At 37.9% G+C, this 16369-nt stretch overlaps 1 protein-coding gene across 28 annotated transcripts in view; it reads left to right on the forward strand.

Moving 5' to 3' along the window:
• The window catches only part of CHRM3 (cholinergic receptor muscarinic 3), a 528883-nt gene that overhangs the window by 148108 nt on the left and 364406 nt on the right, over nucleotides 1-16369 (forward strand). For 23 of the 28 annotated variants that reach the window (NR_164748.1, XM_011544043.3, XM_011544044.3 and 20 more), the window contains one exon: nucleotides 10966-11074. The gene's annotated coding sequence lies outside the window, so the exon portion shown is untranslated. Of the gene's footprint in view, nucleotides 1-10965; nucleotides 11079-16369 lie in introns of all 28 variants that reach the window. The other 5 variants (XM_047443115.1, NM_001375982.1, XM_047443164.1 and 2 more) reach the window with 1 other exon arrangement.

A 16369-nucleotide genomic window follows, 5' to 3' on the forward strand; every position in this document is an offset into this window, starting at 1 on the left:
GAATCATCAATTTTCTTATCTGTAAAATGAAGCTAATGTACATTTTAAAGGTTATTATGAAGATTAAATCATAAGATTCATACATGGAACATTTAGTATTTTACTTGGTTCACATAAGACCATCAATAAATAGTTGTAAATAATAAAAATGATAATTTAACTTTGATTTTAGTAAGGTTATCATTAAATGAAAGGTTCGGTACCACTGGTGGTAGCTGCTAAGCTTGAGTAAAGACTTATTTTGAAGATGCTATATTTTTTATAAGACTGCTAATCCATTCAAAAATAGTCTACTACATGCCAGGCACTGTGCTAGGTGCTGGACATATAGTAGTGAGAAAGAGTCCCTGCCCTCAGGCAGCTTACATTTTAGATGGATCTTTTAGTATTTGCAGCCTGGGCTGCTCCTACAGCTTTCTTCCACCAAATAAGTGTACTTTGATCAGAACCTCAGAAGTGGAATTAATTCAGCACACAGTGTTTGCTGAAGGAAGGGGGATGGACAAAGAAAAACTTGGGGATTCACCAGGGTACCAATCAACCGTGCCAGTGGCCCACACTGGCCCAGAATCCACGTACTGTGGACTTAAACTCACTTGGAGAATTCCTCTAATAAAAGGTTAATATTGGTATTATGTACATCTCATACCTAACGCAAAAACCTCTCCATGTATGTTGTCTTCTCTCTCCAAAGGGAGAATTCACTATATTCCTGCCATATTACCAAGTTTAGCTAGAATTTTGAGTGGAGCGCCAATCACCAAGTCTTACTTAAGATGCCTTTATTTCCTATCTAGTATGTTTTCAGTCCTTTCTATTTCCCTTTGTTCCTTTGGGCCCTGTGTTTTTGGCACCCCATACCTACATCGAGTGTGGGTTCTGCCCTATGAAAATACTCTTACAGTCTTGTTAGTAAATTATTCAGGCTTTTGTGTTGCTCTTGAGTTTTGGTTAGGCCTAAGAAATTTATTCCATGGGGAAGACTTTGTTTTTCCCTTATCCATATATTTATTTCTGTTTGGGGATCTCTCTTTGCACATTTCTGACCTGAAACTGCTCTTGAAACTTCTGAAGCTTGTTTCCCTAGGATCAAGGAGACAACATCATGGAGGTCAGTGGCTGTTAATGGGCACAGCCACAGGTTAGTCCGGAGCAAAGATAAGGGCTGCTAAAGAGGCCATTGACCTGAGCTGTCGGGTACAGGGTGTTGCAGTTTGATTCTGAACCATACCTTGAAGGCAGCCCGGTCTGGAATGGCTAATGAGGCTGAGGCAGGTTAGATATCATAAGCATAATTAGATGAACAATGTGCATGTCTTTTTAACTGCAAGCCAGCTGAGGGTGTGAAAGGGTACTATTTAAGCCCCTTCATTGTATTGCTAGCTCCTAGTCTAGGGAGGCGTCTTAAAGATGTTGCCCCAAATTCCATCTGAATTCAGAGTCAAGGAAGCAGTGACAACATTGAATTTATGTGGCTTATCTTCATGGTTTCAGGTTTGCTTAGGTTTGATTGCTTACCTTAAATTCTAACCTCAGCTTTGGTTTTTCAGTTCCCCCAAATGGACAGTGTCTTGAGGAGCATGTGACTTGAATACCCTCCATTCTATAATTTACTTAGAAATCCTAGCTGGAAGACACGGTTACAAGTACTCTCTTGGCTACAGTCATCCTCCTCCTGTTGCAAACAATCTCTATGGAGATGAGAACATAATCGTAGTCATCCTTGATTGCTTACTGCAGTTGTCTTTAACTCTGTCTTGACATTAAAGGAAGTATTATCAATTCCAAAGACTAAGGACAATTTTTAAAATGTGTAAATATTGTAATTCCAAAACATACCATAGACACAGACACGTGCATAACCAAGATATTAGTAAACCATCATCCACTCAAGGTAATTATATGATTTCTGAGTCACAAATCATTTCCCTTTAATACAAAACTAGGAAAATATCCAAAGACTAGTGAAGATAGCCATCTAAGTACCTGGGCTGGTAAATGTAAAACAAGAAAACCCTGGTCGTAATGTTTTCTATGTTCTTTTGGCTGCCTGCCTTCTTACTGTATTTCCAGGAAAACCAAGGTCTTTTCAGATTTTAGAATCAGTTATACACTGACTTTTGAGTACTTGAGAGTTATTATGCATCCTAGTGGACGGCTTAGAAGAGGTTGTAAGGGAATAATTTTCATTTCAATCTAAATGTATATTTTGCAACTGTTGATGTATACTGATAGAAAGCTTCACATTCCAGAATGGATTCTATTAGGTTTTAAAATGATAATTAAATTTCTTTTTCTTTTCTTTCCTTGGCTTCAAAGTTGACTTTTAAGTGTCACTTTTTTGGTCTCTATCTTTGAGTCTTCAGCATGTTTTAAATGCCTGAGGTATTCTTAGACTGATTGCCAATTTCTCTGCAGTTTCTTAAAAAAAAATACCCCTTTAACTGATCCTCCAGTCTAGACGTCTCCTGGACGAGTGTCAATTGTTCTTCTTTCTCTTTTTACATGTGAGTTAAATGGTACATCGTCCTGTGTTAGGCAGTTCTTGCATTGCTATACAGAAATACCTGAGACAGGGTAATTTATTAAGAAAAGAGGCTTAATTGGCTCCCGGTTCTGCAGGCTGTACAGGAAGGATAGCACTGGCATCTGCTTGACTTCTGGGGAAGCGTCAGGGAGATTTTTCTCATGGTGAAAGGCTAAGCAGGAGCAGGCACTTTACGTGGTGGGAACAAAGGGAGGTGTCACTTACTTTAAACAGCCAGATTACTATCGAGGACCTCACCAAGCCATGAGGGATCCGCCCCCATGAACCAAACTTCTCCCACCAGGCCCCACCTGCAACGCTGGGGATTCCATCTCAACATGAGATTTGGAGGGACCTCCAAACTCTATATCAGTCCCTAATAAAGACCCCTCCTACCAGTAAGGTTCAGAATTGAATTCCGTTTGTTCCCTAAATACTTATTTGATTGCTTTTATTTTAAGAATGTTTAGTTGAATAGCTCTCCAATACAGAATTTTGCTCTTATGGTCACTTAGTTCCCAAAGTTCATCGATCCTCATCCTAATTTCTTTTTTGCAAAGGGTCTGTGGTTACACTGAGTTCTGCAATTTATAGTTTCACTCCTGAAAATCATTCTTTTATTAATTAAAGAATCAGATAGATTAAGATTTGATTTCCATCTTTGCCCACTCATTGGCTAATTTGGCTTTGAAACTCAGTCTATATGAGCCTCAAGGTCTATGAAATATGGATACTATTAACAATGCTGCAAGAGTGTTAAAAGAAAATATGCGTGTAAATGAGTCATAAGCGCTTGGCATGTGGGTAGCCACGTGAGCAGTGTTAATTATGATATTGCTCCAGCTGAAAAGGTTGAAGGGGCAGAAGAGAAAAAAGGAAGAAGGAAAGGAAGAGGGGAAGTAGCAGAAGAAAGAAAAAGAAGAAAGAGAAATGCAGGAGCATGTAATGGCTAAAATAATGAGATTGCAGCTTAGCCTTTTGGGAAGGTTTGCCAAGTATCCCTTCCTTTAATTTACATAGTTCTCATCTTCCATGCAATTATAAAGTGTGATGAGAGTCTCTCTGAAATGTATTATTTTCCTTTCCTTTCTTTTTCCCTCAGGAAGATGCCAATAGAAACTGCTTTTCAGTTTCTCTCTGTTGGCCGTTTGCCCTAACTTTTGACCTCCTCTCTGCATTAGCTAAACTCCACCTCACCCCTCTATCAAACAGCTTGACCACTTCTGCTCTATTGTGACAGCTCTGATTCTTGAGAGGACTCTTTATCCCCTGCCTGCCAAAGGGCTGTTTCAACCCAATTAGATCATGTTGGAAGTAGACTTAATTTAAATAGGTTTTGAAGCTGCTGTCTCTGTTTTGTAAATTATATATTTTAAAAATCTACTGATTTTTGTCTAGTTCATTTAACTGTCCTTACTTAAACTTCATTAAAAAAGTCATTGGAACATCAGCATAGCACATGTGGAATAAATATAGGAGTTAATTTTCAGTACAACTGGTCTTTAAAGTTTAATAGCCAATAAATATAAACATGAAATGACAGTTGCCTCATTACAAATGTAAACACACATATAAACCTACCCAGTAGCAATTTGAAACAAGCTTAGGAATCCACCTCCTACTTTTGTTATGCCTGAGCCTTTTCCTCAAGGCTGTCTTTCCCTTTGATTTATTAATTCCTTCCTTACCACTGTGGCTATCAAATAAGTGCCCTAAAATAGTTATTTCTAATGAAATATAACTTTAGGATTTTAACAAAGAGAGAAAAAAGACTCTTCGTATAACCCTTTCAATTAAAGAAAACTGAGCTACAATGTGCATTTTTATCCAGAATATCACCATTTGCCCCAGGCCCACCCAACCCTTGGTGTGCTTAAGACATGGCTTTGTCAGATGTAAAACTCTGGACATAACTGCTGTGGGGAAGAAAAGCCACCCACTCATGCCCAAGAAGCTGCTTCAGATTCCCTGATGATCAGGTTCAAGGTCATTTTTCTGTACCTTCTTTGTTAAAAGATGCTTTGATTACACAGAATTCTTTCAATTTTTTTGGCCTTTGTTCTCTTGTAATTCAATGAGAATAAGAGAATGTCAGTTGCTTCAGCAGTTAGTGACACTGGTTAGAACTCCCCTAAGATGAAAGTCTGAAGCCCAGATGAGCTGTGAGCTGGATGTCCCCCAGTGGGGTTAGCCTTCCACAGCCCTCAGAGCACAAAGACGATTTTGAGTCTCAGCCGTCACTCTTATCAAATATTCTTACCCTTTTGCAGCAATTACTTTTGTCACTATTGCTATTATGGTTCTGCTAAAATTTCTCTTTCTTTCTCATATTTCTGTACAGTCATGCACTGTGAAATGATGTTTTGGTCAACGATGGACCACTTATACAAGAGTAGTCTTCTAAGATTATACTACTATTTTGGGGTTTGTTTTTGTTTCTGTTTTGAGACAAGATCTCACTCTATTGTCTAGGCTGGAGTGCAGGGGCCCCATCTTGGCTCACTGCAGCCTCAACCTCCCAAGGCTCAGGTGATCCTCCTACCTCAGCCTCCTGAGTAGGTGGGACCATGCCCGGCTAATTTTGGCATTTTTTTAGTAGAGATGGGGTTTTGCCATGTTGCCCAAGCAGGTCTCAAATTCCTGGATTCAAGCGATCCACCTGCCTGAGCCTCCCAAAATGCTGGGATTACAGTCATGAGCCACTGCGCTGGCCAAATGCCATATTTTTACTTCACCTTTTCTATGTTTAGATGTTTACATACACAGATGTTTCCTATTGTGTTACAGCCGCCCACAGTATTCAGTACAGTAATGTGCTGTATAGAAAGCCTAGGTGCAATAGGGTTTATGATAGAGCCTAGGTGTGTACCAGGCTATGCCATCTAGGTTTTTGTGAGTGCACTCTATGACGTTTGCACAACAAGGAAGTCACCTAATGATGCCTTTCTCAGAATGTGTCCTCATTGTTAAGTGAGGCATAACTGTATAAGAAATAAATTTCTTCTCAGCATGTGTTGACTACTTTATCTTAACAAAATGTTAACATAATTTAGCCTTTACTACAGAAGTCGGCATCATAATGTGTAGATTGCTTATGCTAATCGGGAAGTGTTAAGGTAAGCTGTGTCTATTTTAAGTGAAGTAAGTGGTTTAAATGACTCCATTTCAGAGAAAACTTCACTTCAGTAATCCTTTAAAAAAATCTGCCTCTGTTTCCATTCCCAATAGTAAAATAAATAGATAAACAAACAGCTCTTACTAAAACAACAGTAATTTATTATCTTGCACCAGAAGAAATTAGATTTCAAATGTGGAGAAAGTCTGGGATAGTAGCACCACTTTTAGAAATTACACATTATGTTTGTTTTAACATAAATTTGAATTCAAGGAAATTTTCGTGCTCTCAAAGAAATTGAGGAACTTCAAATAAGTTACCTACAAACACACGGTCTTATTATTTTCAGCATACTAACTTCTAATTTTTACTAATTTACCATACACAATATTGCCTGTAATTTTAGTTAACTAATACATGCCATTTTATATTCTGTATTTTGCATACATTTCCTTATATCAGTATAACTTCCATATTTCTTATTATAATAAAGTATTATATAAGTATAGCAATTTAACATTCCATAATGTTAAACTGTTTCCCTGATGTTGTGTTATGGTGTTAATAACAGTAGTAACAACAGCTACCATTTATTAACTGCTCACACAATAAATGCTATGTTAAAAGCATCATTTAACAAAGTAATGAAGAATCTTGATTTGTTACGTGGAAATGCATAGATTTAAGAACTCGGTGTACAACAGGTCCTTGAATAATTTTGTTTTATTCAACTTTATTTTCTTATAATTATAATATTGATGGAAAAAAAATTCTTAGTTGGGGCCAATGTCTGTGTGGAGTTTGCACAAACTCCCCATGTCTGTGTGGGTTTTCTCCAGGTACTCAGGTGAGCAAGAACCTATCAACAACATTAAGTGAGGACTTAACTGTACTAATATCTGTGTGACTTTAGTCAAGAAAAAAATTCTCTATTTTTTTCTTCATCTTCAATATCTTCCTTTGAACACATATAAGTAATAGCTGACTTAGAGGTTGTACCTCCCACTGAGCCTCACATATAGTAGGTGCTCAAGAAATGAGGGAATGTCGTTACTGGGAGCTGCCTAAAGTTGACTTACATCCATAAAATGAGGAGATTTATTTTATTTTGTGCATATTTCAAGATGGATCTCCAAGATAACTAAATTGTCAATGCCACCTGCAATATGCTATGTTCATTTTTTATTTTTATTTTTTATTTATTTATTTTTTGAGATAGGGTGTCACTCCGTCACCCAGGCTGGAGTGCAGTGGCGTGATTACCTCTCACCACAACCTCCACCTCCCAGGCTCAGGTGATCCTTCCACCTCAGCCTCCCAAGTAGCTGGGACTACAGGCGTGTGCCACTGCGCCAGGCTAATTTTTCTATGTTTTTGTAGAGACGGGGTTTCACCCTGTTGCCCAGGGTGGTCTTGACCTCCTGGACTCAAGCAATCCACCTGCCTTGGCCTCCCGAAGTGTTGGGATTACAGGCATGAGCCACCATGCCCAGCCAATTTTTTATATACCAAATCCTCACCAAGATTGCCTTTCTGTCATTCTTCCTTTACTTGTTCATTCTTCATTTCTTTCTCTCAACAAATATTAGAACCTGCTGCACACCTAGCTGTCTGCAAATCACTCCAGATTGTAACTCCTGTGAAGGAAATTCCTCTATTCAACAGGAATCCGAAGAGCCTAGTGGAGTATAGGCAGTAGATAGGCAGAGTAGGCCGGTAGATAGGCAGAAATATGTATGTGTGGGCATTTTTTAAAAAACCATGTCTGTCTTCCCCCGGAGATTATAATTAATCATCTTGATATTATACTATATCAGACAGAATGACCAAGATATAACCTCCTGGGAAAGACAGATACGCAAACAGATAATAATACAATATTATTATATTATATACATTATGTTCAAAATGTTATGGCAGTATATTTGTACCTGAGGAACTAGGGATTGGTAAGAATTAGCTTTTGAGTTATTATTTTTTCAAATGAATAGCAGTTTACCAGATAAATAGAGAGGCACCCCAAATTAGAAGATGTTATCTACTCAGAGAAAACAGGAGGAGCAAAGTCAAGTATGGAGCGTAGGAGAGAACTGAATATCTGGCAACCATTTCCTACAGCTGTAATAATTTTGGTTGGAGATTAGTATTAGAAGAGGATGGAGAGAAAGCAAGCTGGGCAGTTAGTAAATCTTGCGTACCTCCCATGCGACAGGCAGTATTCTAGACATTTTGTTCATATTTTGTCTTACAACTCTCAGAAAAACTCTATTTTAGAGGTGATGCAAGTGAGGCTGTTGAATATGAGGCCAGCTGTCCAAGGTCATGTAGCAAGAATATATCAGAGTTGGTGTTTAGAGCCAAGTCTTCCAGCTCAAAACTCACCTTCTCTTCACCTCTAAGATGCAATGAAATGGGCAACCACTTAGCGGCCTTCTTATTTATTTGGGCTTAATTAACTTCTCTGCTTGAAGATAAATCTTTGGGATTTTGTTCTCTGTTGTCTCAAAAATAGACATTTTACAAAATGTATTTTAACTTCCTTTGATATTTTTCAAAAGTAAATGCCACCTCTCCATGGGAGTCCTATTATGTATGTAGCAGATTCTTCTCTATAACCTTCATGCTTTCTTCGTTTTACATTTTTACCATTTATGCATCTTTGCTGTGGTCCACTCTTTGCCCTTAAATGGGGGCGAATGGAGGATCTTTTAACTTTTTTAGAGTTCTTCTGTTTGTTGTTATCATCACCTTTCTTAGGCCTTCAGCAGGAAGACTGGTTGTCTCAGTTATCTGTCATTCTGAAGAATGGCACCTTTAGGGAGGGAGACAGAGCCCTGGATATTCCCTTGAAGAGAATGCCATCCTGGCACATTGCAGAATGACACTATCCCGGTGGCCATCTTTCTCCATCCATCCTCATTGCCTCAGCTTGTGGGCCCGACATGAAGTGTGGCTGAGTCTGAACTCATTGCTTGTGCCTCCTACAGGGAAAATCCTGCTGTCCCCAAAGAAATACCCTGCCCTACTCAAGATGGTTATTGCATTGCCCCTGAGGCTCATGATCTTCTGTAAGGCCAGGGGTTCCCAACCTCTGCTTCCAATCTGCCCTAAAGCACCCCTCTTCCTGTCATATAATCTCCTCCAAATCAAGCATGAACAATTTTCTAGACCAGAAATCAGCAACCGATTTATTTTATTTTTTTTTTTTGTGATGGAGTCTCACTCAGTCACCCAGGCTGGAGTGCAGTGGTGCGATCTCAGCTCACTGCAAGCTCCACCTCCCGGGTTCACGCCATTCTCCTGCCTCAGCCTCCCAAGTATCTGGGACTACAGGCGCCCACCACCACGCCCGGCTAATTTTTTTGTATTTTTGGTAGAGACGGGGTTTCACCATGTTAGCCAGGATGGTCTCGATCTCCTGATCTCATGATCCGCCCACCTCGGCCTCCCAAAGTGCTGGGATTACAGGTGCGAGCCACCGCGCCCTGCCCAGCAACCGATTTTTATAAGGGGTCAGATAGGATATATTTCAGGCTTTGTGGGTCATACTGTTTCTGTTACAACTACTCAACTCTGCCATGGTAACATGAAAGCAGCCAGAGACGATATGTAAATGAATGGCTGTGGCTGTGTTCCAATAAAACTTTATTTATAGACTCTGATATTTGAATTTCAAATAATTCGCACAAGTCTTTTAGTTTGTTCCAAACATTTAAAAATGTAAAAACCATTCTTAGCTCACAGGCTACACAAAAACTGGCAGCAGGGTTGGAGTTTGCCCACTCCTGCTCTGGAAAGATTGCTGTGATGCTGCTTTTTCTGCAGAGTAAATTGGGATCTGACCACTAGAGTCTCCAAGCTGGCTGTTTTTTTGTAGCATCTCCAATCCAGAGCAGCTTTTCCTAGCTCCTAGTAATCATGCAGTTTCTGCCTATAGACTTTGACTTCAGTTTTCTCCTCTATTCGTGCCATCCTTCCCCCTGTGATCTAGGAAGGTGCGTAGATGGAAGTCCCGTTAGGAAGCCAATACTTAATCTATAGGTAAAACGTGGATTTTTTTCTTTCTGGAAAATATCTTTATTATTTAACCTTTTTCTATTTTTGAGAAATAGAATTCGATCTCTAAATGAATTAAACTGACTGCTAACTAGTGTGTAATTTTTGGAATGAATATATTTGAACTTCATTCAAATGATATTTCAGATTATTCTTTTTCTTCTTGAGATTGTATTGCAAACAGAAAGATAACTTTGGCAAGTAAATTAAAGGATTGACAAAACAAAAGTGTGAATTAAGGCAAAAAATAGATGCCAATGCCTACTTTTGTTGTTGCTGTTCATTCATTCATTTACTCATCACGTATTTGTATGTGCCAGGCACTATATTTCAAAGCGAGATCTCACTTTATATCTATCTTGACATACAAAGACGAGTAGAATACCATGCTTGCATTTTAGAGAACTATATGGGAGACAGAGAACCAATGAGATGTATCTTTATATATCAACTCAATATCTGTTGGTCACATTGTAGGACACGTAGAGCACAACTAATCATTGGAAGAAGTGTCTGTTTTGCATGGTCCACGTGATATGGTAAAGCAGCACGTTCTATAGAGGGCAGAGTCTTGGGCCATTTGCCTTACTCCCCTGAGTCTTTAAATCTGTAAAGCGAGATGACTACATTGCAGATTTGTGGTGAAGACTAAATGGAAATTCATATGCATACATAAGGTAATGATCAAAACATAGGCCATAAAAAATTCACATCACGGGATAAGTTTGGTTTTCTTATTGATAAGCATATGGCTTTCTAGTAATGTTACATTGAGTTACTAGTAAATTTACTTCTGAGTCAGACATATTTACTGACTGTGTAGTATGTCCGTGTGGCTATACTTCACATTGTGTGCAAAACGGAGGTATTACATGTTCTCACTTATAAATAGGAGCTAGGCTATGGGTACACAAAGGCATCCGAGTGATAATAATGGACATTAGAGATTCAGAGTGTGGGAGGAGGGTGAGGGATAAAAACTACATATTGGGTACAATGTACGCTACTTGGGTGATAGGTGTACTAAAATCCTAGACTTCACCACTATAAAATTCACCCGTGTAACCAAAAACCATTTATATTCTTAAAGCTAATGAAATAAAAACAGCAACAATAGAGGTATGTAGGTTAAGGTCTTTCTGTTGGGTTGCTTGTCAAACATCTTTTTATTATTATTATTATGCTACAGATTAGAAAGACAATCTTATGCAAATCATATGAGATCATCCTTACTGACCGATTTTTTCATCTTTTTGTGTCTGTTTAGATATGAACAGTAATGGCACATATTTTGGTTATGAGTCACTCAGAGGACTGTGGATTGAATGAACTGTATCCATCCCCATCATGATGTACAGAACCAAGTCTCTTCACTAGTAGGTATTTTTTTAATTAATATCATGTACACAGTTATATGTTGAGATTTTCACCAGAGTACCTACTTTTATAATGAAAAATGTGTAAAACACATGTATTAGTGTCGCCGGTATGAAATATGGCTAGATCTAGTCTATTTCTGTATCAACCAATTGTAAAATGAAGAGGCATGCTGAGCTGTATCTATTAGGTATAAGTATATAAATGTGGTAATTATGTATACCTATATAGGCAGAATTTAGAAGTATAGCATCTTCCCTCTTTTTTAACTGAATTAAGAAACGTCACTGGACAGTTTCGATGTCTTCTGGTCAATATCATATAGATCTGGTGCCAATGTAAGCTTAAACTTTTTACCGAGTTTATGCTTTGCAACAGTTTAATTTTATTATACAGGGTATTTGATGTGCTTCCACTCACAGATGCACCATATTAACAGTTGGTGTATGATATTTACGGTGTTGTGGAAAGAAAATTAAACTCAGTCAGAAGATGTTAATTTCATTTCAGCTCCAGCATTTATCCTCATACTAGTCCCCTAATCTCTAGGCCTCAGTTTCTTCATTTGAAAAGTGAAAGGAATCGTTTCTGCTTTACCTAGTTCATAAGATTTCCTTTGAAGGTCAACAGAGGTAACGGATGTGAAATTATTAGCTAACTCTCAAACTCTGTAAAAATAAATGGTGTTGTCTGTGGTCAACTAACAGCACAAGTAGAGAGCTGGAAAAAGTTGTGACCATAATTGTCTCTTCCAATTAATTAATGCAGTCTACTATTTTATATGCTACTTGCCTAAGAGATAAATGATAAAATCCTCATTAATTTTAATTTATGACCCAAATTAATTTTTGGTATATTTGAGAAAATTATGTTTAAATGATATATGAGGAAACACATGTTTCTCACACACCCATGCACACACCAATCCCCACCAACCATAAGGAATTTCTGCTGCTGCTTCTCTCCATCGTGTTTACTCTTATTAGATTTTGTCTATTAGGTTTTTACACATGAAGGAGAAAGATATATTAGATACTTCTTATGTGTACTTTAGTTTCAAGATACTAAGGAAACAATGTAGGAATTTGGTGAGATTGTAAATATTATTTAAATATAGTATTTAATACATCTGTTAACTGAAATCATTTTAACATCTTCTATGACCATTCTCTTTAGCTAGGAGAATACAGCTAGCTTGTTTAAAATGAACAACTGAAAATGTAATCTTAACAAATACATTCAGTAATATTGAGAAAGACTTTTCCACTAAATTTAAACAAGTTATATAACCAGGCTTATGCAATGAAACTGGTTTGCAAATTCTAATTCCGGAAATTAGATATGATTTTCACTAGGAGGGCAGTGGTCTGTTACATGAATAAAATTTTTGCATATAAATGGAACGAAAATCTTAATAACAGGTAACATATTCACTGGCTAATATTGTAGCATAGTGCTGAAGTATGCAGGATCTATAGTCAGACTGCCTGAGGTTGCAACCCAGTTCCACCATTTTGTAGTTTTGCAAAGTTGGACAAGTCATTTAATTTCTCTGTGCTTTAGTTTGCACATTTGTAGAATGAGACTAATAAAAAGAGATCTATCTGATTGCATAGGCTTGTTGTATGGATTACATGAGTTAATATGGACGAGTGTTTGGGAGCAGTGTGACACTTACTAAGTTATCAGTCAGTTCCCTGGGGAGTGTGGGATTATCCTGATGAGCACAGATTTTAGAATCAGAAAGCCCTGGGTTCAAAGTCATTTATTAATTGTGAAGTTTTCAAAAACCTCAGTTTCTGAGAAATAAAAGGGAAATGATTATGATATAGTCCATACTGCCTTTGTTCAGATGGCTTAACACAGCATCCACACAAGGAATGGCAGCTATCCCCTTTGTCAGGCATTGTAAAGATATAATCACAAATCATTGTATAGTATGATTTTAAAATAATGTAAATGAGAGAACTTCTGAATTTGAAAATGTCCTTGCCACGTGTTATATTTAAAGGACTTTCATAAATGTGCTCAATTATTGATTTATTTTGTTAGATTCAGAATTTCAAAAATGATTAACAAATACTTAAACAACAAAATGCAAACATAGCTTGAGTATGGAATACTGAAATGACAAAAAAAAGTGGTTTATTAGGCCGATCAAGGAATATCAAATGAATGTTTAATTTATTTTGAATTTTGGACTGTCACCATGTTTAAAATGACTTTTTTTTTTCAGGAGAGAAAGAGAGCAAAAAAGAAAGGAGGTATAAATGTAGAAAATGTTTCACAAAGTGATGGGGAGTAAGGGCTTGAACTTTCACTTTCATAATCATGAGTTCTATATCAGACGTACGCTTGTTTTTATTATGAATCAACTTAAGATATTGTCCTTTGAGCTTACACTGGACAAAATTCAGTGGTTTTAGTGGGTGACATTTTCCAAATGAGTCATAATTTGTTCCCAAGGTGGAAAGTACTGATAACTTGGGGCAATATTTAGAGTCAAGAGCATGAGCCCATGTTTTATGTCCATCTCTCTAGTTGAGCCAGTTGCTGGGCTGACATGTATCACTCAGACCAGAAAGCCAAGTCTTATTCCCTCACTTCTTCCTTATAAACCATCTAAAACAATGACAGCGTTTGGTTTGTCCAACTCTGTCCATCTCTGTATGCAGAAAGTCTTTCACATATAAATTTAATCTGACTTATCTGACTTGCTTATAATTCAGATTAAAATGTTATCTTTGACTGCTTTGCACACACCCATTTATTCTTCTTCTTGTTTATTTTTGCAATAGCTTCTTCAGCCTTTATAGATTTTTCCCCTGATGAGGACAGTAGTGGTTATGGGGGAAGCTTTTGGGCATAAAGGCTTTGAGGGTGCATTTCTTGGTAAGAATCTACATGCTATGGACATGGGTACAGGCCTGGTTGCTGTGTTGCTGTCCCTTTGTGAGGGCCTGGGTGAGAGATGCCCATGGCACTGATGTGATGCTGTCCTGCCCTCCCAGGGCCTGCAGCATGCCATACTTCTAGCCCTTCAATGCAGCCAAGATGCACATTATGAAGTCTCGTATTAGGATTTAGAATGTAATAAAAGGAAAAAAGCAAGGTTATGCGGTTGGAATGCTGGCCCTACTGTATTATTAGTCCATTTTCATGCTGCTGATAAAGACATACCTGAGACTGGGCAATTTACAAAATAAAGAGGTTTAATGAACTTACGGTTCTATGTGGCTGGGGAGGCCTCACAATCATGGTGGAAAGCAAGGAGGAGCAAGTCACATTTTACATGGATGGCAGCAGGCACAGAGAGAGCTTGTGCAGGGGAACTCCCCCTTATAGATCCATTAGATCTCTTGAGACTTATTCACTACCATGAGAACAGCATGGGAAAAACCTGCCCCAATGATTCAATTACCTCCCACCAGGTCCCTCCCACAACATGTGGGAATTTAAGATGAGATTTTGGTGGGGACACAGCCAAACCATATCACCTACTAAACAGACAGATTTTTGTGGATTTCTACTTATCTTTGTGGTTTTATGGTCATTATATATATTTGTGATGTTTACCTTAACATCACAAATTAAATTATGTATGTCTTTAGAAGTCTCCTTCTGGCTGGATGCAGTGGCCTATAATCCCAGCACTTTGGGAGGCTGAGATGGTCAGATCACTTGAGGTCAGAAGTTTGAGACCTGCCTGGCCAACATGGTGAAAACCCATCTCTACTAAAAATACAAAAAAAAAAAAAAAAATAGCCAGGTGTGGTGGCACACACCTGTAATCCCAGCTGCCCGGGAGGCTGAGGCATGAGAATCACTGGAGCCTGTGGGGTGGAGGTTGCAGCAAGTTGAGATCGCACCACTGCACTCCAGCCTAGGCAACAGTGAGAGACTCCATCTAAAAAAAAAAAAAAAAAATGGAGTCTCCTTCTGAAGGAGACTGATTAAGTCCAATATCTATCTGATACTACTTAAATGAGAATCTCTAAAAACTAAAGCAGAATGACGCATTTCATTCAGTACCACAGGGCCAGATCATGGATCAGACATGGGATATTCAGACCTGAAGTCTAATGTAATTTGGAGACACGAAATAGATGAAATCTTTACTACAGTGCGATTCTGAGAATAGCCCCTAACTTTACATATAACATGGTAAAGGGAAGAGTATAAGCCTAGGAATGGAAGTGTATTCAAGTAGGCTGTATTGTGGGCCAAGCAGAAGGTGAGTCCTTTAAGAAGAGAGCCTGCTCAATGGTGACTGGAAGTGGAATCAATGAGCTGTGAATTTCCCAGAGAGGTTTATGTGACCCTCTCTCACATGTTGGCTGCCAATCTCCTCTGCCTCCTTGCTGACCAAGCCCCACCTAGCAGCAGCAAGCCTTACCTGCGTGCCATGATCCCAGGAGCTTCCTTGTGCTTAGATGTACTGTCCGTTAATCAAACTCATGTTCTTCCTTCCAAACTCAGTTTACAGGCACGGTCATCTGTGAAAACTTCCTTGATCTTCCCCTTAAAATTCACTGTTTCTTTTTCTGCTCTTCTGTACTGTGTGCATGCCTATATTATAAATCATGCTTACTTCTTTTGCAATGCTTTGTTGATGTACCAACTACCTCACTATGGTGTTAGCTGGTTGAGGGCAGTTCCTGTCTTGTTCATTCTTGTTTTTCCTGGGTCCAGAACTCAACCAATAGTTACTGATAAAATTAATGATTCAAATGATTAATGATACATTTTATCCTTAGATTGCACAATAAATAATTACATTTGGCATGTTACAGAGATTTCTATGAAATGTCTTTCAATATGGATGTTTTCTTAAAATTGTTATTAATATAAATCTGTAAAAAGTATGACCAGAAAAAAATGAAAAGTGGCAAATTTTAACTTACCGTGATGTTTATATCATTTTAAGTATTTTTAGCAAAAGATAACAGGAGTTTTGAAAATGTGTATCTGACTCTACTAACTACCTTCTTAATTTATCATTAAGCTCTATTGATTGATTGATTGTGTCCCTAGGTGGGCTAGAAAATTTGATTTTTAGAACAGCATTTCAACAATGATGAGAAATTTTCTGACCTCATGTTAACTGAAGGTGGAATGACTGCATTGCTATGAGTTAGTAAGAAAAATATTTTAAATAGTTCTTAAGGTTTTCTTTTATTATAATAACTATTTTATTTCTTTTGATTGCTTTTGTTCAACATTCCAGGCTTGAATTCATCACTGTTTTTTAAAGTATACATATTAAAGCATATTTACATAAATATAAAGCACGT

The sequence above is a fragment of the Homo sapiens genome, chromosome 1, assembly GCF_000001405.40.
Source record: "Homo sapiens chromosome 1, GRCh38.p14 Primary Assembly".
NCBI classification, from domain to species: Eukaryota; Metazoa; Chordata; class Mammalia; order Primates; family Hominidae; genus Homo; species Homo sapiens.